General features: G+C 38.7%; 1 protein-coding gene across 10 annotated transcripts in view; it reads left to right on the plus strand.

The window, feature by feature from the left end:
• Positions 1–26,966, plus strand: part of XKR9 (XK related 9) — a 396,467-nt gene that overhangs the window by 43,585 nt on the left and 325,916 nt on the right. For 7 of the 10 annotated variants that reach the window (XM_011517525.3, XM_011517524.4, NM_001287259.2 and 4 more), the window contains one exon: positions 20,873–23,019. The exons of 1 other annotated variant lie outside the window; for it this stretch is intronic. In XM_011517525.3, the coding sequence (XP_011515827.1) occupies positions 20,873–21,501 (629 nt within the window). In that variant the 3' untranslated portion in view covers positions 21,502–23,019. Of the gene's footprint in view, positions 1–502; positions 655–15,327; positions 16,401–20,872; positions 23,020–26,966 lie in introns of those variants that run through there. 2 more of the 10 variants (XM_017013405.3, XM_011517526.4) reach the window with 2 other exon arrangements.

A 26,966-nucleotide genomic window follows, 5' to 3' on the forward strand; every position in this document is an offset into this window, starting at 1 on the left:
ACCAAAACAACTAAGATATCATGAATAAGAAGTAGAGGAAATAGGAAAAAAAATCAGTGAGACTTGAACTTTTGGAAATTACCAGATGCAAAGTATAAAACAAGTATCCTATTATGTTTAAAGAACTAAAAGATGAACTTGAAAATATGGAACAGAAAACTATTAAAAATGAGTTTATATTTGAAAAAGAAATAAGTAGAACTTACTGAAATAGAAAATTCAGGAATTGAAAGGAACAAATTAGCAGATTAGACAGAATTAAATAGACAATGAATGAGTTACTGCTAGGTCAGAAGAAATTATCTAGATTGTAGTTTAGAGAGACAAAGAGATAGAAAATATGAGAGAGATATTAAGAGACATGAGAGATAGGGTGAGAACATCTAATATACATCTGAACAGAGTCCCCAAAGGAGAGAAGAGAAAGAATGGAGTGGAAGCAATATTTGAAAAGTTAGTCACTCAAAAAATTTCAGAACTGATGAGAGACACCTACCCACAGATTCAAGAAGCCCATCATCTGACAAGCGTACTCAGCAGAAAGAAATTCATACCATAGTGTATCCCCACCAGAGGAAATTCCAAAGAGAGTGTACTTCAGACAAAACAGAAATGTTCTGAGGCACAAGAAGAAGTAAAGAGCAAAGGAAGTAGTAAGTATATGGGTGATTCTAAATGAATAAATGAATATTGAATATTCTAAATGAATATTGGCATTTTGTTTTATAACAAAATGCTATGTGGTTAAGAAGAAGAATGAAAATACAGGACAATGATAACATGTAAATCAGATGGAGAATAAGTGGAGTTAAAACCTATATAGTATAGGAGAAAGGTAAAGCAAAGTTGGATGTGGGGTTTTTAAAGTGTAAAGCAAAAACATTTAGAGAGACCCTATTTAAGAAAAATAACAATATTATGAAAAAAATTAGGTATTGTATGTGTTTGCTTGGGCGGCCATACAGAATACTACAGACTGAGTAGCTTAAACAGTAGAACTTTATTTTCTCACAGTTCTAGAGACTAGATGTCCAAGATCAAGGTGCCAATAGGGTTGGTTTCTGGTGAAGCCTCTCTTCTTGGGTTGCAGACAGCTGTTTCCTTGCTGCATGCTTATGTGGCCTTTCCTCTGTGCACACATAATGGTGGGTGGGGATGAGTAAGGAGGAGGGAGAGGAAGAGGAGGGGAGAGAGATTTCTAATGTTTCTCTTTTTACAGTGACACTAGTCCTAATGGATTAGGGCCTCACCATTATAAACTTATTTATTTAACTTTACCTCCTTATAGGCTGTATGTCAAAATATAGTCACATTGGGAGTTAGGGCTTCAATGTATGAATTTTGGGGATACGCAATACAGTCCATAAAAGATATTAATGTAAATATTTATTTAAAACAAGAAAATAAATTACAGCAAATTACAGATATAAGAAAGCTAACACCTACAAATTTCACAAAAGAAAGAAAAATAATATATTTTTATTATTTTAATACTCTTTTCTCTAAATTTGTGGCTTTGTACTCTCTGATTGGCTCTAGATTTGATGATTTTATAATATAATTTTCATAGAATAGAAAAAATAATTCAATCTTTTCTCTAGCGTGGTCGATTGGAATTTGGTTTTTATTTAAATTTAAAAAAGTTTTTGTCAACATCATAACTTATTGATAAAATATGCATTTTTCAATTATTGTCAAATTTTGGAAAACCTCTATCAATTTCTTTAATAATGTGCCATAGGATTTTTTGGTATTTGAAGATTTTTTTTAGGTAAAGTGACTAATTTTAACTCGCGTTTGAATTGACATCTCTAGTTTATTGTTGATGTCTTATTTAGTGAACATGGATGGGAGTTCTCTATTTTCTTCACTGATGTCAGTACTTAATGCCAAATCAGAAATAAATTAATGAAAATCTCTGAATTAATAAGTAAAGAATTAATAAGAATAATGTGATTGGACAAGGTCATTTTAGACTGAGGAAAAGGCATAACAAAGGCATAGTTTGACAATGGCACAAAATTTAGTTTGAATAGAGTGTAATGTAGAGGTTAGGGCAGCAATATGATAGAAAAAAATATGTTAGAAGCAGGTAGGAAAGTGGGAAATTGGCAAAAATGTCAAATAATAGTGTCAACTAGATGAGAATCGACTATTGTGCCTTCACATTGGGAATAAAAGGGCTGTTGACATCTGAAAGACAATTTAGTGAAATGTTAAGATCAGGTAAACTGCCTTGGAATCCTAGCTCCACCACTTACTAATCTTACTTATTGAAGCAAATCATGTAAACATGTCCCCTATGCTTAAACTAAATGTAGTCTCAACTTAGTTTCCCTTAGCCACATCCCCAAAATGCCCACAGCCACTTGAACATACTAGGGGAATATGTGAGAGAAAGTAAGCAAGAATAGAAAGAGACAGGGAATTTAATCAACTGCAATTAAAATGTCTTATTTTTGCAAATTTTATAAAAATATGTGACAAGGTGAACAGATAGGGCTTTGCTAGGCTTGGAAGGAGACTGGGCAAGTGAGAGTCCCTGAAATTTAAGCTTCACTATCGTATTGATATATTAATCTTTGAGGTAACAATATTGATTAGCCTTAAACTTTGATATGCTTAATATTCATGTTATGATTTCTAGAGAAATCACCAAAGAATAAAAACAGGGCATATAATTAAATGATATGGGTTATTAGATTGAAAAAGTGAATAAAAATAGCTCACATCAAGCACATCATTATATCATTTCAGAGAAGCAAAGAAAGATGATTCTAGAAGATTTGAGAGGAAAAAAAGTAATGTACTAAGGATAGAAAAACTGAATGGCATGAAATTTTTAACCTTAACAGTGAAATTAAAACAGAACAGTAAGTTTAAGGTTTCAATGGAAAACATTTTTTTTTGATTTTGAATTCTCTTTCAAGCAAAACTGTATCAAGTATGAGGGTAGAATTAGGATGTTTTGAGATATATAAGGTCTCAAAAAATTTTGCTTCTGAGAAATTTTTTTCAGGAAGGCCTGGCAAAAGTTTAATCAAAACATGAGAGTAAACCAAGAAAGATGATAGGAGAACCAGGAAACAGGAAAGTAATATAGAAGAGAGGTGAAGGGAAGTTGTGGGAAGACTGGAAGCAAGACTTAAGAGCAACTGGCTTAGAGTGGGAGAATGGTGTTCTAAAAAACCAGAAAAAAAGGAACTAGTAGATGTATATAGAGGAGTTTTATTAATTAATTTGAAGATTTTGCTAAGAAATAATTAGAGGGTTATGAAAACTAACCAAGTGAGGAAACAAGGCAGTTGTCAACTCCAGGAATAATGAAATATTTTAAAAGAAAGGAAATATAGAGTGTTTTTTTGAAAAGTAAGCAATAAAAACACTGCACTTATGTAGTTATAATAAGGTGTATTAGTCCATTCTCATGCTGCTATGAAGAACTGCCCGAGACTGGGTAATTTATAAAGAAAATAGGTTTAATTGACTCACATTCTGCAGGGCTGCGGTGGGGGGCCTTAGAAAACTTACTAGCATGGCAGAAGGGGAAGCAAACACATCCTTCTTCACATGGTGACAGGAAGAATGAGAGCCGAATGAAGGGGGAAGCCCCTTATAAAACCATCAGATCTTGTGAGAACCTACTATCACGAGAACAACATGGGGGAAACTACCCCTATGATTCAGTTACCTCTACCGTGTCCCTTCCATGACACGTGGGGCTTATAGGATTACAATTCAAGATGAGATTTGGGTGGGGACACAAAGCCAAACCATATCATTCCTCTCCCAGCCCCTCCCAAATCTCATGTCCTCACATTTCAAAACACAATCATGCCCTTTCCAGCAGTCCCTCAAAATGTTAGCTCATCCCAGCTTTAACCTAAAAGTCCAAGTCTGAAGTCTCATCTGAGACGAGGCAAGTCCCTTCCACCTATGATCCTGTAAAATCAACAGCAAGTTAGTTACTTCCTAGATACAATGTGGGTATAGGCATTGAGTAAATACACCCATTCCAAATGGGAGAATTTGGCCAAAACAAAGGGGCAACAGGCCCCATGCAAGTCTGAAATGCAGTGGAGCAGTCAAATCTTCAAGCTCTGAAATGATCTCCTTTGACTTCATGTCTCACATTCAGGTAATGCTGATGCAAGAGGTGGACTCCTATGGCCTTGGCAGCTCTGCCCCTGTGGCTTTGCAGGGTACAGCCCCACTCCAGGCTGCTTTCCTGGCCTGGCATTGAGTGTCTGTGGTTTTCCCAGGTGCACTGTGCAAGCTGTTAGTGGAGATGCCATTCTGAGGTCTGGAGGATGGTGGCTGTCTTCTCACAGCTCCACTAGGCAGTGCCTCAGTGGGGACTCTGTGTGTGAGCTCCAACCCCACATTTCCCTTCTGCACTGCCCTAGCAGAGGTTCTCAATTAGGGATCCACCCCTGCAGCAAAATTCTGCCTGGAAACCCAGGCATTTCCATACATCCTCTAAAATCTAGGTGGAGGTTCCCAAATCTCACTTCTTGACTTCTGTGCTTCTGCAGGCCCAGTACCACTTGTAAGGTGCCAAGGCCTGGGACTTGTACCCTCTGAAGCAATGGCCTAAGCTTTACATTGGCCCCTTTTAGCCATAGCTAGAGCTGAAACAACTGGGATGCAGGGAACCATGTCCTGAGGCTGCATAGAGCAGGGGGCTCCTGGGTCCAGCCTACAAAACCATTTTTTCATCTTAGGCCTCCAGGTCTGTGATAGAAGGGGCTGCAGTAAAGGTCTCTGGAATGCCCTGGAGACATTTTTCCCATTGTCCTGGTGATTAACATTCGACTGCGTAATACTTATGCAAATTCTGCAGTGGGCTTGAATGTCTGCTCAGAAAATGAATTTTTCTTTTTTTACAGCATTGTCAGGCTGCAAATTTTCCAAACTTTTATGCTCTGTCACCTCTTGAATGCTTTGCTGCTTAGAAATTTCTTCCACCAGATACCCTAAATCATCTCTCTCAAGTTCAAAGTCCCACAGATCTCTAGGACAGGGGCAAAATGCTGCCAGTCTCTTTGCATAGCAAGAGTAACCTTTATTCCAGTTCCCTCCAAATTCCTCATCTCCATCTGAGACCACCTCATCCTGGACTTTATTGTTCATATCACTATCAGCATTTTGGTCAAAGGCATTCAACAAGTCTCTAGGAAGTTCCAAACTTTCCCACATCTTCCAGTTTTCTGAGCCCTTCAATTCTCCAGGAAGTGTCAAACTATCCCACATTTTCCTATCTTCTTCAGAGCCCTCCAGACTGTTCCAACCTCAGCCTGTTACCCAGTTCCAAAGTCACTTCCACATTTTTGGGTATCTTTGTTTATTTATTTTATTAATCTATTTATTTATTTTTATTATTTATTTATTTTTGTTTTACTTTAAGTTCTGGGGTACATGTGCAGAATGTGCAGGTTTGTTACATAGGTATACATGTGCCATGTTGGTTTGCTGCACATATTATCCCATCATCTAGGTTTTAAGCCCCGCATGCATTAGCTGTTTGTCCTAATGCTCTTGTCCCCTTGCCCCTGATGCCCCAACAGGCCCCAGAGTGTGATGATCCCCTCCCTGTGTCCATGTGTTCTCTTTGTTCAACTCCCATTTATGAGTGAGAACATGCAGTGTTTGGATTTCTCTTCCTGTGTTAGTTTGCTGAGAATGATGGTTTCCAGCTTCATCCATGTCCCTGCAAAGAACATGAACTCATTCTTTTTTATGGCTGCATAGTATTCCATGGCATATATGGGCCACATTTTCTTTATCCAGTCTATCATTGATGAGCATTTGGGTTGTTTCCAAGTGTTTGCTATAGGAAATAGTGCTGCAATAAACATACATGTGCATGTCTTTATAGTAGAATGATTTATAATCGTTTGGGTATATACCCAGTAATGGGATTGCTGGGTCAAATGATATTTCTAGTTCTAGATCCTTGAGGAATCACCACACTGTCCACAATAGTTGAACTAATTTACACTCCCACCAGCAGTGTAAAAGCATTCTTATTTCTCCAGATACTCTCCAGCATCTGTTGTTTCTTGACTTTTTAATGGTCACCATTCTAATTGGTGTGAGTTGGTATCTCATTGTGGTTTTGATTTGCATTTGTCTAATGACCAGTTATGATGAGTTTTTTTTCATATGTTTGTTGGCCACATGTCTTCTTTTGAGAAGTGTCTGTTCATATCCTTCACTGACTTTTTGATGGGATTTTTTTTTCTTGTAAATTTAAGTTTCTTGTAGATTCTGGATATTAGCCCTTTGTCAGATGGATAGACTGCAAAAATTTTCTCTCATTCTGTAGGTTGCCTGTTCACGCTGATGATAGTTTCTTTTGCTGTGCAGAGCCTCTTTAGTTTAATTAGATCCCATTTGTCAATTTTGGCTTTTGTAGCAATTGCTTTTGGTGTTTTAGTCATGAAGACTTTGCCCATGCCTATGTCCTGAATGGTATTGCCTAGGTTTTCTTCTAGGGTTTTTATGGTTTTAGGTTTTAGGTTTAAGTCTTTAATCCATCTTGAGTTAATTTTTGTATAATGTTTAAGGAAGGGATCAAGTTTCAGTTTTCTGCATAAGGCTAGCCAGTTTCCCAACACCATTTATTAAATAGGGAATCCTTTCCTCTTTGCTTGTTTTTGTCAAAGATCAGATGGTTGTAGACCTGTGGTGTTATTTCTGAGGCCTCTGTCCTGATCCATTGTTCTATATATCTGTTTTGGTACCAGTCATGTTGTTTTGGTTACTGTAGCCTTGTAGTATAGTTTGAAGCCAGGTAGCATGATGTCTCCAGCTTTGATCTTTTTGCTTAGGATTGTCTTGGCTATATGGGCTTTTTTTAATTCCATATTAAATTTCAAGTAGTTTTTTGTAATTCTGTAAAGAAAGTCAGTGGTACCTTGATGGTTATTCAAATAACATTGAATCTATAAATTACTTTGGGCAGCATGGCCATTTTCACGATACTGAATCTTCCTATCCATGAGCATGGAATGATTTTTCCATTTGTTTGTGTCCTCTTTTATTTCCTTGAACAGTGGTTTGTAGTTCTTTTTGAAGAGGTCCTTTGCATGCCTTGTAAATTGTATTCCTAGGCATTTTATTCTCTTTGTAGCAATTGTGAATGGTAGTTCATTCATGATTGGGCTCTCTGTTTGTCTATTATTGGTGTGTAGGAATGCTTGTGATTTTTGCACATTGATTTTGTATCCTGAGACTTTGCTGAAGTTGCTTATCAGCTTAACGAGTTTTTGGGCTGAGACAAGGGGTATTCTAAATATACAATCATGTCACCTGCAAACAGAGACAATTTGACTTCCTGTCTTCCCATTTGAATACCCTTTATTTCTTTCTCTTGCCTGATTGCTCTGGCCAGAACTTCCAATACTATGTTGAATAGGAGTGGTGAGAGAGGGCATCCTTGTCTTGTGCTGGTTTTCAAAGGGAATGCTTCCAGCTTTTGCCCATTCAGTATGATATTGGCTATGGATATGCCATAAATAGCTCTTATTATTTTGAGATATGTTTCATCAATACCTAGTTTATTGAGTGTTTTTAGCATGAAGGGGTGTTGAATTGTATTGAAGGCCTTTTCTGCATCTGTTGAGATAATCATATGGTTTTTGTCATTGGTTCTGTTTACGTGACTAATTATGTTTATTGATTTGCGTATGTTGAACCAGCTGTTCATCCCAGGGATGAAGCTGACTTGATCGTGGTAGATAAGCTTTTTGATGTGCTGCTGGATACAGTTTGCCAGTATTTTATTGAGGATTTCTGCATCGATGTTCATCAGGGATATTGGCCTGAAATTTTCTTTTCTTTTTGTTGTGTCTCTGCCATGTTTTGGTGACAGGATGATGCTTGCCTATAAAATGAGTTAGGGAGGAGTCCCTCTTTTCTATTGTTTGGAATAGTTCCCCAAGGAATGGTACCAGCTCCTCTTTGTACCTCTGGTAGAATTCAACTGTGAATCCCTCTTGTCCTGGGCTTTGTTCGGTTGGTAGGCTCTTAATTACTTCCTCAATTTCAAAACTTGTTATTGGTCTATTCAGGGATTTGACTTCTTCCCAGTTTCGTCTTGGGAGGGCGTGTGTGTCCAGGAATTTATCCATTTCTTCAAGATTTTCTAGTTTATTTGCATAGAGGTGTTTATAGTATTCTCTGAGGGAAGTTTGTAGTTTTGTGTGATCAGTGGTGATATCCCCTTTATCATTTTTTATTGTGTCTATTTGATTCTTCTCTCTTTTCTTCTTTATTAGTCTTGCTAGTGGTGTATCTATTTTGTTAATCTTTTCAAAAAACCACCTTCTGGATTCATTGATTTTTTTGAACGGTTTTTCGTTTCTCTATCTCCTTCAGTTCTGCTCTGAGCTTAGTTATTTCTTGTCTTCTGCTAGCTTTTGAATTTGTTTGCTCTTGCTTTTCTAGTTCTTTTAATTGTGATATTAGGGTGTTGATTTTAGATTTTTCTCAGTTTCTGATGTGAGCATTTAGTGCTATCAATTTCCCTCCAAACACTGTTTTAGCTGTGTCCCAGAGATTCTGGTATGTTGTGTCTTTGCTCTCATTGGTTTCAAATAACTTATTTATTTCTGTTTTTATTTTGTTATTTACCCAGTAGTCATTCAGCAGCAGGTTGTTCAGTTTCCATGTAGTTTTGCAGTTTTGAGTGAGTTTCTTAATCCTGAGTTCTAATTTGATTGCACTATGGTCTGAGAGACTGTTTGTTATGATTTCCATTCTTTTGCATTTCCTGAGGAGGGTTTCGCTTCCAATTATGTTGTCGATTTTAGAATAAGTGCTGTGTGGTGCTGAGAAGAATGTATATTCTGTTGATTTGGGGTGGAGAATTGTGTAGATGTCTATTAGGTCCTCTTGGTCCAGAGCTGAGTTCAAGTCCTGAATATCCTTGTTAATTTTCTGTCTCATTGATCTAATATTGACAGTGGGGTATAAAGTCTCCCACTGTTATTGTGTGGGAGTCTAAGTCTCTTTGTACATCTCTAAGAACTTGCTTTATGAATCTGGATGCTCCTGAATTGGGTGCATATATATTTAGGATAGTTAGGTCTTCTTGTTGCATTGATCCCTTTACCAATATGTAATGCCCTTCTTTGTCTTTTTTGATATTTGTTGGTTTAAAGTCTATTTTATCAGAGACTAGCATTGCAACCCCTGATTTTTTTTTTTTGCTTTCCATTTGCTTGGTAAATATTCCTCCATCCCTTTATTTTGAGCCTATGTGTGCACATGAGGCTGGGTCTCCTGAATATGGCACATGGATGGGTCTTGACTTTTTATCCAACTTGCCAGTTTGTGTCTTTTAATTGGAGCATTTAGCCCATTTACATTTAAGGTTAATACTATTATGTGTGAATTTGATCCTGTCATCATGATGCTAGCTGGTTATTTTGCACATTAGTTGATGCAGTTTCTTCATAGTGTCATAGGTCTTTATAATTTCGTGTGTTTTTGCAGTGGCTAGTACCAGCTTTTCCTTTCCATATTTAGTGCTTCCTTCAGGAGCTCTTGTAAGGTATGCCTGGTGGTGACAAAATCCCTCAGCATTTGCTTGTCTGTAAAGAATTTTATTTCTCCTTTACTTATGAAACTTAGTTTGGCTGGGTATGAATTTCTGAGTTAAAAATTCTTTTATTTAAAATGTTGAATATTGGCTCCCACTGTGTTCTGGCTTGTAGGGTTTCTGCAGAGAGATCTGTTGTTAGTCTGATGGGCTTCTCTTTGTAGATGACCTGGCCTTTCTCTCTGGCTGCCCTTAACATTTTTTCCTTCATTTCAACCTTGGAGAATCTGATGGTTATGTGTCTTGTGGTTGCTCTTCTTGAGGATATCTTAGGGGTATACTCTGTATTTCCCGAATTTGAATGTTGGCCTGTCTTGCTAGGTTGGGGAAGTTCTCCTGGATAATATCCTGAAATTTTTTTTTTTACTTTGCTTCCATTCTCTTCATCATTTTCAGATACACCAGTGAATCGTAGGTTTGGTCTTTTCACAGAGTCCCATATTTCTTGGAGGCTTTGTTCATTCCTTTTCATTTTGTTTTCTCTAATCTTGTCTTCATGCCTTATTTCTTTAAGTTGATCTTCAAACTCTGATATTGTTCCTTCTGCTTGATTGATTTGGCTATTGATACTTGTGTATGCTGCATGAAGTTCTTGTGCTGTGTTTTTCAGCTCCATCAGTTCATTTATGTTCTTCTCTAAACTGATTATTCTAGTTAGCAGTTCCTGTAATCTGTTATCAAGGTTCTTAGCTTCCTTGCGTTGCATTAAAACATGCTCCTTTAGCTCAGAGGAGTTTATTGTTACCCACCTTCTGAAGCCTACTTCTGTCAATTCGTCAAACTCATTCTCATTCTCTGTCCTGTTTTGTGCCCTTGCTGGAGAGGAGCCACGATCCTTTGTAAGAGAAGAGATATTTTGGCTTTTGGAATTTTCAGCATTTTTGTGCTGGTTATTCCTCATCTTCGTGGATTTATCTACCTTTGCTCTTTGATGCTGATGACCTTTGGATGTGGTTTTTGGTTGGGTGTCCTTTTTGTTGATGTTGATGTTGATTTTATTGCTTTCTGTTTGTTAGTTTTTTCTTTTAACAGTCAGGCCCCTCTTCTTCAGATCTGCTGGAGTTTTCTGGAGGTCCAGTCCAGACCCTGTTTTCCTGGGTATCACCAGCGGAGGCTGCAGAACAGCAAAGATTGCTGCCTGCTCCTTCCTCCAGAAGCTTTGTCCCAGAGGGGCACCAGCCTTATGTCAACTGGAGCTCTACTGTATGAGGTGTCTGTCAACCCCTGCTGGGATGCGCCTCCCAGTCAGGAGGCACAGGAGTCAGGGACCCACTTGAGGAGGCAGTCTGTCCCTTATCAGAGCTTAAACAATGTGCTGGGAGATCCACTGCTCTCTTCAGAGCCAGTAGGTGGGAACTTTTTTTTTTTTTTTTGAGACGGAGTGTCGCTCTGTGGCCCAGGCGGGAGTGCAGTGGCGGTGGGAACGTTTTTAAGTCCGCTGAAACTGCACCCACAACCACCCCTTTACCGAGGTGTTCTGTCCCAGGGAGATGGGAATTTTATCCGTAAGCCCCTGACTGGGGCTGCTGCCTTTTCTTCGGAGATGCCCTGCCCAGTGAGAAGGAATCTAGAGAGGCACTCTGGCCACAGCCATTTTGCTGTGCTGTGGTGAGTTCTGCCCAGTCTGAACTTCTGGGCTTCCTCAACACTGTCAGGGGAAAGCCGCCTACTGAAGCCTCAGTAATGGCGCACGCCTCTCCCTGCACCAAGCTTGATCATCCAGGTCGACTTCAGACTGCTATGCTGGCAGCGAGAATTTCAAGTCAGTGGTTCTTAGCTTGCTGGGCTCCCTGGGTGTAGGACCCACTGAGTGAGACCACTTGGCTCCCTGGCTTCAGTTCCCTTTCCAGGGGAGTGAACAGTTCTGTCTTGCTGGTGTTCCAAGTGCCACTGGGGTAGGAAAAAAAAAAAAAAAACTCCTGCAGCTAGCTTGGTGTCTGCCCAAATAGCTGCCCAGTTTTGTGCTTGAAACCCCAGGGCCCTGGTGGTGTAGGCACATGAAGGTTCTCCTGGTCTACGGGTTGCAAAAACCGTGGGAAAAAGCATAGTATCTGGGCCTGATAGCACAGTCCCTCACGGCTTCCCTTGGCTAGGGGAGGGAGGTCCCTGGCCCCTTGCACTTCATGGGTGAGGTGACAACCCACCCTGCTTCTGCTCGCTCTCCATGGTCTGCACTCACTGTCTAACCAGTCCCAATGAGATGAACTGGTACCTCAGTTGGAAATGCAGAAATCACCCACCTTCTGCATTGGTCTTGTTGGGAGCTGCAGACCGGAGCTTTTCATATTTGGCCATCTTAGTCTGGGTTTTCTTTTTTTGGGTATCTTTATAGCAGCACCCCACTTCTGTTACCAATTTACTGTATTAGTATGTTCTCATGCTTCTATAAAAAGCTGGCTGAGATTGGGTAATTTATAAAGAAGTTTAATCGACTCACAGTTCTGCAGTGCTGGTAGGGGCCTCAGGAAACTTACAATCATGGCAGACGGGGAAGCAAACACATCCTTCTTTACGTGGCACCAGGAAGAAAAATGAGAGCAAAGTGAAGGCAGAGGCCCTTTATGAAACCATCAGATCTCATGAGAACTTACTATCATGAGAATAGCATGGGGGAAACTTCCCCTGTGATTCAATTACCTCCCTCCGGGTCCCTCCCATGACATGTCGGAATTATGGGATTACAATTCAAGATGAGATTTGGGTGGGGACGCAAAGCCAAACCATATCATAAGGCAAACACCAAATATTTATTTACCAGAAATTGTGATGTTGCTCTTTTGGGTGGATGGGGGAGGGAAAGGAAAATGGAAGAAATGTGTGTATATATGTGTGTATGTGTTAACATTTCCTCTTTCCAAATAGGAAATCAATAAACAGTGTACAAAATAAATTCAGCACAATATATATTTTATTTATAAATATGACAATAGATGTCAGGAGAAAATCTAGAAGAGTTGATAGTGATTTCTTCTGGGGGTTACAATTGAGGGGTGAGGAGATGTAGAGCAAGGTACTGCCATTTTTCTTATATACTCTGTAGAACTTTTTGACTTTTAAAAAACGATGTACGAGAGGACTTAAAAAAGTTCATGGGGCTGGGTGTGGTGGCTCATGGCTGTAATCCCAGCACTTTGGGAGGCTGAGGCGAGCAGATCACTTAAGGTCAGGAGTTCAAGACCAGCCTGTCCAACATTGTGAAACCCTGTCTCTACTAAAAATACAAAAATTAGCTGGGCATGGTAGTGGTCGCCTGTAATACCAGCTACTCAGGAGGCTGAGGCAGGAGAGTCAATTGAACCCAGGAGGCGGAGGTTGTAGTGAGCCTAGATTGCATCACTGTACTCTAGCCTGGATGACACAGTGAGACTCCATCTCAACAACAACAAAACAACAACAAAAACAACAACAAAAAGTTCATGGAAAATGCATATTATGAAAAAAACTACAAATGGATTTTACATTTTCTTTCTACCCAGATAAACTCAATCTAACTTGTTATAATGTGTCTGAGCAGAATCCAATTTGAGGCACTAAGAAGGACAAGGTAGCAGTTTGGAAAGTGCCCCATCACAGCAATATGAATTCTGTTAATATTAAAAATGAAGCAAGAACACACATCAAATTTATGGTTAAGCTTGGTTGGAAGAATGGTGAAATCATTGATACTTTGTAAATACATTATGGGGACAATGCCCCAAAGAAATCAGCAGCTTACAAATATATAGCTCATTTTAAGAATGGATGAAACAATGTTGAATACCTTAGTGGCAGATCATCCGCGTCAATTCATGAAGAAAAAATTAATTTTGTTCGTGCCTGAATTGCAGAGGACTGACAATTAACAGCAGAAACATTTATAGCCCACACTGTAGACCTCTTACTTGGTTCAGCACACAGAGTTCTGAATGAAAAATTACAGTTGAGCAAACTTTTCACTCAATGGGTGCCCAAACTCTTGCACCCAGATTAGCTGCAGGTAAGAATAGAGCATTCAATGAAAATTTTAAACAAATGGTATTAAGATCCTGAAGCATTTCTTTGAAGAACTGTAACAGGAGATGAAACATGGCTTTACCAGTATGATTCTGAGGACAAATTACAATCAAAGCAATGGCTACCAAGAGGTGGAAGTGGTCCAGTCAAAGCAAGAGTGGATTGGTCAAGAGCAAAGGTACCAAAGAGTTTTTTGGGATGCTCAAGACATTTAGCTCGTTGACTTTCTGGAGGGCCAAAGAACAATAACATTTGCTTCTGGTGAGTATTTTGAGAAAGTTAGCTAAAGCTTTAGCAGAAAAAAGCCCAAGGAAGCTTCACCAGAGAGTCCATCTCCATCATGGCAATGCTCCTGCTCCTCCTCTCATCAAACAAAGGCAATTTTGTGAGAGTTTTGATGGGAAATCATTAGACATCCACCTTACAGTCCTGATTTGGATTTTTCTGACTTCTTTTTGTTTCCTTAAAAAAATCTGTTAAAAGGCACCCATTTTTCTTAAGTTAATAATATAAAAAAGACTGCATTGACATGGTTAAATTTCCAGGACCCTCGATTCTTTTGGGATGGACTATATGGCTGGTATTATGGTTTATAGAAATGTCTTGATCTTGATGGAGCTTATGTTAAAAAATTAAGTTTATATTTTTTGTTTTTATCTTTTAGTTCCATTTTCCATGAACTTCTGGAAGTCCCTTTGTTTATGTGTTAATTTGATAAAAATCAAAACATTATAAAAAAGATATGGGGCAATTTAGGGGAAAATTATATTTTAACTAAAATATTTTTGAATTAAAGAAGACAAGTTTTTTTTTTTTTTTCAGGACCTCAGAGTTTTATTATTACTTAAGTCAGTCTCCCCCAGCATTTGGGGATCAGAGTTTTTTTGTTTGTTTTGAGACAGAGTCTCGCTCTGTCACCCAGGCTGGAGTGCAGTGGCGCGATCTTGGCTCACTGCAACCTCCGCCTCCCGGATTCAGTCGATTCTTCTTCCTCAGCCTCCTGAGTGGCTGGGACTACAGGCACACACCACCACGCCTGGCTAATTGTTTATTTTTAGTTGAGATGGGGTTTCACCATATTGGCCAGGCTGGTCTTGAACTCCTTACCTCATGATCTGCCCGCCTCGGCCTCCCAAAGTGCTGGGATTACAGGCATGAACCACCGCGCCTGGCCTGTGGATCAGGGTTTTAAAGGACAACTTAGTGGGTAGGGGAAGCCCGTGAGCTGGGAGTGCCGATTGGTCAGGTCAGTGATGAAATCATAGGGAGGAGAAACTGTCTTCTTGTACTGAATCAGTTCTTGGGTGGGGGCTACGAGATCAGATGAGTCAGTTTATCGATCTGGGTAGTGCCACCTGATCCATTAAGTGCAGGTCTGCAAAATATCTCAAGCACTGATCTTAGGAGCAGTTCAGGTAGGGTCAGAATCTTGTAGCTTTCAGCTGCATGACTCCTAAACTATAATTTCTAATCTCGTGGCTAATTTGTTAGTCCTACAAAGGCAGTCTAATCTCCAGGCAAGAAAGAGGCTTGTTTTGGGAAAGGCCTGTTATCTTTTTTTAAACTAGAAACTAGAAACTATGTTCCTCCCAAAGTTAGATCAACCTATGCCCAGGAATGAACAAGGAGAGCTTGGAGGTTAGAAGCAAGATGGAGTTGGTTAGGTCAGGTCTCTTTCACTGTCTAAGGTGTAATTTTGCAATGGTGGTTTCAATCCCTCTCTTTAGGTTTTATAACTCTTAATCTTAAGGTGTTGGCTAATGAAGATGGAAAAAGGGCGAAGACTTCTCTAACTTCTTCCTGCTGATCAGGGGCATAGTGGGGGTAGGTGCTGACCCCAAGGTGAGAGGAGTGGAACCACTTTGCAACTGTCTGATCATACTCACACAGGGCAGGCTGGGCTTCCAAGGCTTGCATGTTAAAGGCGTTAGTATTGTCATTTATAGTTTTAGTACAGCATTTAAGGGAATAGTATACTATAAGGTAAATGATGACTCTAGGACAAGGAGTGCAGTTCCCAGTTTTAAAAGTAAAAATCTGAGAGCATTAGTTTGGGAACTTGTAGCCCACAAAGAATTTAGGATTTTGTCCAAACTGCAGAAAAAAACTCAAGAACAGCTAACAACAGGTGTACTATAGTATTTTCTTTTGAAGCATAATTTTTCTCTCTCCAGTCCCCATTTTTATTAAAAGCAAATCATGATAGAACTAATTTGTTTACAAAATGAACTTTAGTCTTATTGTAATTGGCCTAATTATTGCATACGGTGCAGCAAGATTATTTTTCACATAGGCTTTTTAAAATTGATTTTGGTGAACTCTGTTCCATAAGGAATCTCGGATAAGATATTTTAAAGCCGAGCACAGCCGTGGGCTTGTACCTCAAATACCTATGAGTTGGGAAAATTCCTCTCCTCTTGAGGTCCCAGGATAACTCAGGGCTCCTAGGCCTGTTAGAAAGTGACATTCTTTACTTACCACAGATCAGGAACCTTGTACAGGGACTGTGTGGACAGAGTATGAGGCCAGATTTCCCAAGGGGCTGTTATTGGCTCTATAAGTCAACCTCGATTATTTAAAGAAAGTATGCCATTCCAGTCAAAGCCTTGGTAAAATAACCAGTTTCTCCAATTGTGTCCAGTTACAAAAGAAAACAGATTCTTATGGCACTTATGCAAATAACTATACTGCCGTAAGTTGAGAATACTCACAAGTAGTTTCCAAGGTAGAGAGACAAATATGCTCCAAATTTTGTTCATAGGAATGTATTTTACTAAATTGTTAAAAGCTATAAATATCTCAAAAGAAAAGTTTTCTTGGCTCTGGAAAACAAAAAGGATCAGCAGTGTTTTATGCAAAAAAGTAAGAAAAAGATTACTTTAGTTTTCTGATAGTTCAGTTAACTCCTGTTCTGCTTGATATTCATGAACATTTCAACTCTCTGCGGGAGTCTTGGAAGTTTTTTCTCTTTATTCTAATGTCATAAATTCCAAAGTTATAAGAAATTTGCATTCAAGAGCACCTGTCAAAGTTTTGTAGCTGATTAGGAAACCACCATTTAAAGAGGATCAAAATAAGGCAACAATTGCCTATGGATGACAAAAAAATCTTAGGGCAGCCATAGTTAAAGACACAATTGACAAGAAAATCTGTTACCTCTGTGGTACACAATAATTTAACATAATTATAATTATTAATGACATCATATACTAAGTCATATCAGAATTATAGGAGTGTCACATAATTTTGGAGCATATACCTATAACACATTTACACAAATACAGCCCAAAGAAAGCCAAACAGCATTTTAAATTTGATAGTGCTTCCTGTATGATTTTTATACCAGATAAGCCAACACATCATTTTTGGACTTCAGGGGACCTAATGTCTAAAGGATTAATTAGGTCAGAAAGTGACATACTTTATAATTTGATTTTGGAAAGTTTGTCAAATATCAAAGGCTTAAAACACTGGATATCACAAAATAGGATCACAGTTTATTTACTTATCCGAGGTGGTAACTTGAAAAAAATATATTTTTTAAGGCAAAACCCTTTACTCTGAAGAGTTTTAGTTTTCCAAACAAGACCCAATGGAGATAGCATGAGGCCAACTGATACCTTGTCCTTCCTCCCCCTTTTTCCCTGCCATTTACCCAAAGGGGCAAAAAAACCCCTTTCATTATCTTTTAATATTACATAAAAATCTTTTTCAAATGAGAAAACCAAATTTCATGTTTGCATTAGTGCATCTTCAATGTTAAAGCTAGTTTTTAAAATAAAATATTATAAATCTATGTAGTTTAAATTAGTTTAACCATAAGGTAATATTTTTATAAACCTTTTTAGAACCCTTTACAGTTTTCTCCATAGAGCTCTTTTTTTCTAAAGAAAAATTCTTTTAAATTTCTTATTACCAGACTCTAGCCAGAACTGCCAATAATTCTGGCTTTTGAATTCTACCACAGGTAATTTTCCACATGAAATTAATAATTTTTAACTAAGGTTATAAGTTAACCATGGATGCATAAAGTGTTTTAAAGAGATGGTAAGCATTTTTTTTTTAAATAAGATTTATAATCTCCCCAAGGGTAGTTCAGAGAAAGGAAAATTCAAGACAGGAACTCAGAAGCGATTGTTGAGGGGAAGAAAACCTTAATCTGTGGCAAAGTTACACAAATAATAAACCAGAGAGAAATTATTCCGGAAGCCAAGAATTGAATCTGGACTGCCATTGTCAAAAAACAAAGCTTTAGCTACTGAGCTACACAGCATTGAGCAGTTTCTATTGCTCTTCCCAGAAGAAGTCTAAAGCAGCCAATTTCAAGCTTGCAGAGGCTCTTAACTGCTCAAGATAATTTTAGGGCTATGATATGAACCATAAAATTACTGTCCTCTGGATGGCAGAAACCAAGGGAAAGTATCCCCACATGGTCACAAAGTTAAGCTCTTAAGGACACAACACAAGATAGAGAAATTTCATCCAGTATTGGTGTCAGGGTCCCACAGCAAAGTTTGTAACTGACCAGCCTGCTAGGCTGGCTTTAAAAGCAGCCTTATAGGGGCCCTAAACCATCATTGTATCCTGTGATACCTATTACAGAATGACACAGAAAGACAAATTCTTAGCACAAAGCACACCAGATTTGCTACAGCCTAAGACTAGTTTCACAAATCCTTTTTTCTATCAATCAGACTCATGCAGAGAAGACAAATAGTGATGTCTACCATTTACATACACACACAGAGAAAGAGAGAGAGAGAAAGAGACCAGAAACTTGGCTGGTAAGAATTTCATATGCTTTTTTTTTTGCTGGCATACCAGGTTTCCAGGTTCCTTTTCTCTGCAGCTTCCAGAAGAATGGAGCAACTTTTGATGACCCTGCTTGATGTGCCATAGCTGTGGGGTTCAAGCCACTTTACAAAAGCCACCTTTTCTGTTTTATGGAACCATAGACAAAAGATTCTCAATTTTTCAAGATGTTGCCTAATGGGCTGCATGGGGAACTGAATTAACATTTTCCGTCTAGCAAAATACACGTAACAAAACAAGACACCAGTCACCTCATTCAGCACCCAATATCAACCTGGCAAAGCTCAAATTTTCTCCTCTTGGTCCCCTGTTGTCTTTGATCTCCTCCAGGTGGGGAAGGATGACCTCTGAATGGTAATTCACAATGGGTGATCTCTGGGCAAGGTGAAGAGTGGATAGTCACCCTGAGACAGGTCTGTTGAGCATTCTTTCAGGCTCATGGAATGTAATCAGACAAGGAAAGTTCTCTGAGTTAGGACTGTGGGACTTCCATCGACAATTCCTTCTGAGATCCCCTCCACATATACAAACATACACTAAGACAAGATGGACAGAAGGCCTTCCAAATCAGATTCCTAATCAAGAACTCCAAGAGTATCTCTTCTAAACTATCCTCCTATTCTTAGTCTGAGAAATTCTCCCTGAAATTTTCCTGATTAAGGAGAAGTCTCCTGAACCAAGACTTCCTACTAGTTAGGGAGAGCCAACCACGACTCCCAGGAGCTGAACTGAGACAGACACCCCACAGTGGGGCTATAGACAAACCAAGACCCCCGAAGGAGCTGAACTGAGATAGACACCCCATGGTGGAGCTACAAACAGATACCCCACAATGGGGCTGTGGACAGACACCCCATCATGGGGCTACCGAACCATTTGGGAGAAAGAAGGAGGCATTGGCAACGCCTAGGATACTCACCAAACCAGACACCTTGTAATAGAGTTACAGCTACAGACACTCTGCCATGGAGCTACAGATACCCTGTGAGGGGGCTACAGTTACGGGATGTCTCACCAGGACTATTTCCGTATTACAATTAAATCCATGCACATTGGGTGGGCAGCACCCTGCCAAGAGTAGCAGAGTCAACCCCCAGTCCAAGAGAACTAGGCAGCCACTTGGGCTGGCCTCTGGATCCATTGCCAGAGTGGGGCTACTGAACCATGGGCTGGTAGTCACAAGGCCATTCCTGGACGAGCCCCCATATTTGTAACCACCCAGTGGGTTCACCTTGCTGCTGCATGGACAGAATCAATTTATCATGATGGGAATTACAATAGAGAAAGAGTAATTTATGCAGAGCCTTCTGTGCAGGAGACTGGAGTTTTTTTTATTACTGAAATCAGTCTCCAGTAGAGTTTGACTAATGAGGTACAGTGGTGTATGCTAAAACCAAGAGAGCATGCAAATGTATTTATAAAGGTCTTGTCCTCATTATCTTCATCAATAGATAAATTTTTGTAAATCTGCCTTTCAATCATATTATATAGAAAGTGGTAGGCCAGGTGCAGTGGCTCACGCCTGTAATCCTAGCCCTTTGGGAGGCTGAGCTGGGTGGATCAATTGAGGTCAGGAGTTTGAGACCAGCCTCGCCAACATGGTGAAACTCCATCTGTACTAAAAATACAGAAGTTAGCTTGGTGTGGTGGCATGGGCCTGTAGCCCAGCTACTCAGGAGGCTGAGGCAGGTGAATTGGTTGAACCCGGGAGGTGGAGGTCAACATTGCACCACTGCACTCCAGCCATAGTGACAGAGTGAGACTCCATCTCAAAAAGAAGGAAAGAAATAAAGAGAGTGGTAATTAACTTACTTTTCTGTTATTTGCTGAGAAAAAATGGGGTATAGATATCAATCCTACAGAAAGTTGTAAGTTTTAGAACATACTCATTCACTTGTTTCAATATCTTCAGGATATGGGAAGTTGGGCTTGTTTAATATCTCATATTAAATTTTCTGTTTAACCCTCTTTCTCTCTCTCTACCCCTCCTCCTCTCCTTCCCTTACCCCTGCTTGAAGCTATTATCTCTTAGTGAATTGGGTGTATGCCTAAAATCACAGTCAAAACATCTAGAAAAACTAGGATTATAACTGTAGTCTCTTAACTCACAGAGTATGCTTTTTTCAGTATATCAGTTGCTCAATAAAATTTGTCCCATGAATTTTTAAAAAATCATAATAAAACAGTCTAATATAGTGGATAAATCTATCCACTTTGGAATCAGGTTCAAATCTCAGTTCTGCAACTTACTAGCTTTGCAACTTGGGTCAAGCAGTGTATCTCTCCAAGTCTCAGTTCCCCCATACATAATAATATCTACTTCAAAAGATTAGATGAGAAGAGTAAAGTATGTGACGTGTTTGTGGGTGTGTGTATATAGATATAGCATGTATGGGATATAGTAATCTAATATTTCTATTATTCCTATAACAATATATTTTTTATTTTTTTGTTTTGTAGATGCGGCCATCATGGTCTCTTGCTGTGCTATTTCTTGGTCAACTGTTGATTATCAAGTAGCTTTAAGAAAATCCTTGCCTGACAAAAAGCTTCTTAATGGATTATGTCCCAAAATCACATATCTCTTTTACAAGTTGTTTACATTATTATCGTGGATGCTGAGTGTTGTACTTCTACTATTCTTAAATGTTAAGATTGCTTTATTTCTGTTGTTATTTCTTTGGTTGTTAGGTATAATATGGGCATTTAAAAACAACACCCAGTTTTGTACTTGTATAAGTATGGAATTCTTATATAGGATTGTTGTTGGATTCATTCTTATCTTTACATTTTTTAATATTAAGGGACAGAATACCAAGTGTCCAATGTCTTGTTATTATATTGTTAGGGTACTGGGCACTTTGGGGATATTGACTGTATTCTGGGTTTGCCCCCTCACTATTTTTAATCCAGACTATTTTATACCTATCAGTATAACTATAGTTCTTACTCTTCTTCTTGGAATTCTTTTTCTTATTGTTTATTATGGGAGTTTTCACCCAAACAGAAGTGCAGAAACAAAATGTGATGAAATTGATGGAAAACCAGTTCTAAGAGAATGTAGAATGAGATATTTCCTAATGGAATAAGCTATTCATTTATGATATATATTTTCTTATATTTTGTTTCATTGGTTAGTAAAGAAAATGTGTGTTATGTGGGTGTGTTGTCTCTTATTTTTGCCACCTTTAATTTGAAATTAGTTCAGTGAAATAGGAGATACATAGTAGTATTTTATTTTTAAAATTAATTTCTCATTTGGTTTTGAAGATCTTGAGTACTCAGATATCTTTCTACTGCCTGGTAGAGCTGCCATCTTGAGCCTGAAATATAAGAAATGGTCTGGTTTTCATAATGAGAAGGCTGGAATTGAGCTTCCCTCCCATTTTCCTTGTTCCTGAACTAATACTACTGTACCTGTTATGGAGGACTGCAAAGGGAAGAGAAAAGCAGAACACTGTATTATTTTTTCCTTTATTGTCTTCAGTGCATATATTTGCAGTTGGGGACAGGTTGAGTAGAGGAAAAGGGAAAGAAGGGAAAGCAGAAAACAAATTTTTAGCATCTGCTGTGCTTTCATCCATGAAATCTCCAATTCAGTAAGTGCAAAAGAGAATTGGTGTGCATCTGAGAGGTCTGACATTTCATTATTTACTTATTTCCTAGCTTTTCTGAATTAATGCACTCTTAACATATAATTATATTAATCCTATTTGTGCTAGAATAGTTGTATCTAAATCATATTTTAAAATTATTTTTATTTTTAAAAAATTATGGTAAAAACATATAAAATTTACCATCTTAATCACTTTGAGTGTACAGTTCATCAGTGTTAACTGTATTCACCTTGTGCAACAGATCTCAAGGACTTTTTCACCTTGTAAAACTAAGATTCTCTATTTATTGAACAAATCCCCATTTCCTCCTTCCCCAAGTCTCTCTCAACTGAAATTATAATTTTTTGTTTCTATGAGTTTGAATACTTTAGATACCTTGTTGCCATGGTTTGAATGTGCCCCCCAGATTTCATGTGTGTGAAACTTAATCTCCAAATTTGTATGTTGATGGCATTTGGAAGTGGTGGGGACTTTGTTTATTTATTTATTTTTAATTTTTTAATTTTATATTATTATTATTATTATTATACTTTAAGGTTTAGGGTACATGTGCACAATGTGCAGGTTAGTTACATATGTATACATGTGCCATGCTGGTGTGCTGCACCCATTAACTCGTCATTTATCATTAGGTATATCTCCTAAAGCTATCCCTCCCCCCTCCCCCCACCCCACAACAGTCCCCAGAGTGTGATGATCCCCTTCCTGTGTCCATGTGTTCTCATTGTTCAGTTCCCACCTATGAGTGAGAATATGCAGTGTTTGGTTTTTTGTTCTTGCGATAGTTTACTGAGAATGATGATTTCCAGCTTCATCCATGTCCCTACAAAGGACATGAACTCATCATTTTTTATGGCTGCATAGTATTCCATGGTGTATATGTGCCACATTTTCTTAATCCAGTCTATTGTTGTTGGACATTTGGGTTGGTTCCAAGTCTTTGCTATTGTGAATAGTGCTGCAATAAACATACGTGTGCATGTGTCTTTATAGCAGCATGATTTATAATCCTTTGGGTATATACCCAGTAATGGGATGGCTGGGTCAAATGGTATTTCTAGTTCTAGATCCCTGAGGAATCACCACACTGACTTCCACAATAGTTGAACGAGTTTACAGTCCCAGCAACAGTGTAAAAGTGTTCCTATTTCTCCACATCCTCTCCAGCACCTGTTGTTTCCTGACTTTTTAATGATTGCCATTCTAACTGGTGTGAGATGGTATCTCATTGTGGTTTTGATTTGCATTTCTCTGATGGCCAGTGATGGTGAGCATTTTTTCATGTGTTTTTTGGTTGCATAAATAAATGTCTTCTTTTGAGAAGTGTCTGTTCATGTCCTTCGCCCACTTTTTGATGGGGTTGTTTGTTTTTTCTTGTAAATTTGTTTGAGTTCATTGTAGATTCTGGATATTAGCCCTTTGTCAGATGAGTAGGTTGCGAACATTTTCTCCCATTTTGTAGGTTGCCTGTTCACTCTGATGGTAATTTCTTTTGCTGTGCAGAAGCTCTTTATTTTAATTAGATCCCATTTGTCAATTTTGGCTTTTGTTGCCATTGCTTTTGGTGTTTTAGACATGAATTCTGTGCCCATGCCTATGTCCTGAATGGTAATGCCTAGGTTTTCTTCTAGGGATTTTATGGTTTTAGGTCTAACATTTAAGTCTTTAATCCATCTTGAATTAACTTTTGTATAAGGTGTAAGGAAGGGATCCAGTTTCAGCTTTCTACATATGGCTAGCCAGTTTTCCCAGCACCATTTATTAAATAGGGAATCCTTTCCCCATTGCTTGTTTTTGTCAGGTTTGTCAAAGATCAGATAGTTGTAGATATGCGGCGTTATTTCTGAGGGCTCTGTTCTGTTCCATTGATCTATATCTCTGTTTTGGTACCAGTACCATGCTGTTTTGGTTACTGTAGCCTTGTAGTATAGTTTGAAGTCAGGTAGCGTGATGCCTCCAGCTTTGTTCTTTTGGCTTAGGATTGACTCGGCGATGCGGGCTCTTTTTTGGTTCCATATGAACTTTAAAGTAGTTTTTTCCAATTCTGTGAAGAAAGTCATTGGTAGCTTTATGGGGATGACATTGAATCTATAAATTACCTTCGGCAGTATGGCCATTTTCATGATATTGATTCTTCCTATCCATGAGCATGGAATGTTCTTCCATTTGTTTGTATCCTCTTTTATTTCACTGAGCAGTGGTTTGTAGTTCTCCTTGAAGAGGTCCTTCACATCCCTTGTAAGTTGGATTCCTAAGTATTTTATTCTCTTTGAAGCAATTGTGAATGGGAGTTCACTCATGATTTGGCTCTCTGTTTGTCTGTTATTGGTGTATAAGAATGCTTGTGATTTTTGTACATTGATTTTGTATCCTGAGACTTTGCCGAAGTTGCTTATCAGCTTAAGGAGATTTTGGGCTGAGACAATGGGGTTTTCTAGATATACAATCATGTCATCTGCAAACAGGGACAATTTGACTTCCTCTTTTCCTGATTGAATACCCTTTATTTCCTTCTCCTGCCTAATTGCCCTGGCCAGAACTTCCAACACTATGTTGAATAGGAGTGGTGAGAGAGGGCATCCCTGTCTTGTGCCAGTTTTCAAAGGGAATGCTTCCAGTTTTTGCCCATTCAGTATGATATTGGCTGTGGGTTTGTCATAGATAGCTCTTATTATTTTGAGATACATCCCATCAATACCTAATTTATTGAGAGTTTTTAGCATGAAGCGTTGTTGAATTTTGTCAAAGGCCTTTTCTGCATCTATTGAGATAATCATGTGGTTTTTGTCTTTGGTTCTGTTTATATGCTGGATTACATTTCTTGATTTGCATATATTGAACCAGCCTTGCATCCCAGGGATGAAGCCCACTTGATCATGGTGGATAAGCTTTTTGATGTGCTGCTGGATTCGGTTTGCCAGTATTTTATTGAGGATTTTTGCATCAATGTTCATCAAGGATATTGGTCTAAAATTCTCTTTTTTGGTTGTGTCTCTGCCAGGCTTTGGTATCCGGATGATGCTGGCCTCATAAAATGAGTTAGGGAGGATTCCCTCTTTTTCTATTGAGTGGAATAGTTTCAGAAGGAATGGTACCAGTTCCTCCTTGTACCTCTGGTAGAATTCGGCTGTGAATCCATCTGGTCCTGGACTCTTTTTGGTTGGTAAGCTATTGATTATTGCCACAATTTCAGATCCTGTTATTGGTCTATTCAGAGATTCAACTTCTTCCTGGGTTAGTGTTGGGAGGGTGTATGTGTCAAGGAATTTATCCATTTCTTCTAGATTTTCTAGTTTATTTGTGTAGAGGTGTTTATAGTATTCTCTGATGGTAGTTTGTATTTCTGTGGGATCGGTGGTGATGTCCCCTTTATCATTTTTTATTGTGTCTATTTGATTCTTTTCTCTTTTCTTCTTTATTAGTCTTGCTAGCGGTCTATCAATTTTGTTGATCCTTTCAAAAAATCAGCTCCTGGATTCATTAATTTTTTGAAGGGTTTTTTGTGTCTCTATTTCCTTCAGTTCTGGTCTGATTTTAGTTATTTCTTGCCTTCTGCTACCTTTTGAATGTGTTTGCCCTTGCTTTTCTAGTTCTTTTAATTGTGATGTTAGGGTGTCAATTTTTGATCTTTCCTGCTTTCTCTTGTGGGCATTTAGTGCTATAAATTTCCCTCTATACACTGCCTTGAATGTGTCCCAGAGATTCTGGTATGTTGTGTCTTTGTTCTCGTTGGTTTCAAAGAACATCTTTATTTCTGCCTTCATTTCGTTATGTACCCAGTAGTCATTCAGGAGCAGGTTGTTCAGTTTCCGTGTAGTTGAGTGGTTTTGAGTGAGTTTCTTAATCCTGAGTTCTAGTTTGATTGCACTGTGGTCTGAGAGACAGTTTGTTATAATTTCTGGTGTTTTACATTTGCTGAGGAGAGCTTTACTTCCAAGTATGTGGTCAATTTTGGAATAGGTGTGGTGTGGTACTGAAAGAAATGTATATTCTGTTGATTTGGGGTGGAGAGTTCTGTAGATGTCTATTAGGTCCGCTTGGTGCAGAGCTGAGTTCAATTCCTGGGTATCCTTGTTAACTTTCTGTCTTGTTGATCTGTCTAATGTTGACAATGAGGTGTTAGTCTCCCATTATTATTGTGTGGGAATCTAAGTCTGTTTGTAGGTCACTCAGGACTTGCTTTATGAATCTGGGTGCTCCTGTATTGGGTGTATATATATTTAGGATAGTGAGCTCTTCTTGTTGAATTGATCCCTTTACCATTAAGTAATGGCCTTCTTTGTCTCTTTTGATGTTTGTTGGTTTAAAGTCTCTTTTATCAGAGACTATGATTGCAATCCCTGCCTTTTTTGTTTTCCATTTGCTTGGTACATCTTCCTCCATCCTTTTATTTTGAGCCTATGTGTGTCTCTGCACATGAGATGGGTTTCCTGAATACAGCACACTGATGGGTCTTGACTCTTTATCCAATTTGCCAGTCTGTGTCTTTTAACTGGAGCATTTAGTCCATTTACATTTAAAGTTAATATTGTTATGTGCGAATTTGATCCTGTCATTATGATGTTAGCTGGTTATTTTGCTCATTAGTTGATGCAGTTTCTTCCTAGCCTCGATGGTCTTTACAATTTGGCATGATTTTGCAGTGGCTGGTACCGGTTGTTCCTTTCCATGTTTAGTGCTTCCTTCAGGAGCTCTTTTAGGGCAAGCTTGGTGGTGACAAAATCTCTCAGCATTTGCTTGTCTGTAAAGTATTTTATTTCTCCTTCACTTATTAAGCTTAGTTTGTCTGGATATGAAATTCTGGGTTGAAAATTCTTTTCTTTCAGAATGTTGAATATTGGCCCCCACTCTCTTCTGGCTTGTAGAGTTTCTGCCGAGAGATCCGCCGTTGGTCTGATGGGCTTCCCTTTGTGGGTAACCCAACCTTTCTCTCTGGC

The sequence above is a fragment of the Homo sapiens genome, chromosome 8 (genome assembly GCF_000001405.40).
Source record: "Homo sapiens chromosome 8, GRCh38.p14 Primary Assembly".
NCBI classification, from domain to species: domain Eukaryota; kingdom Metazoa; phylum Chordata; class Mammalia; order Primates; family Hominidae; genus Homo; species Homo sapiens.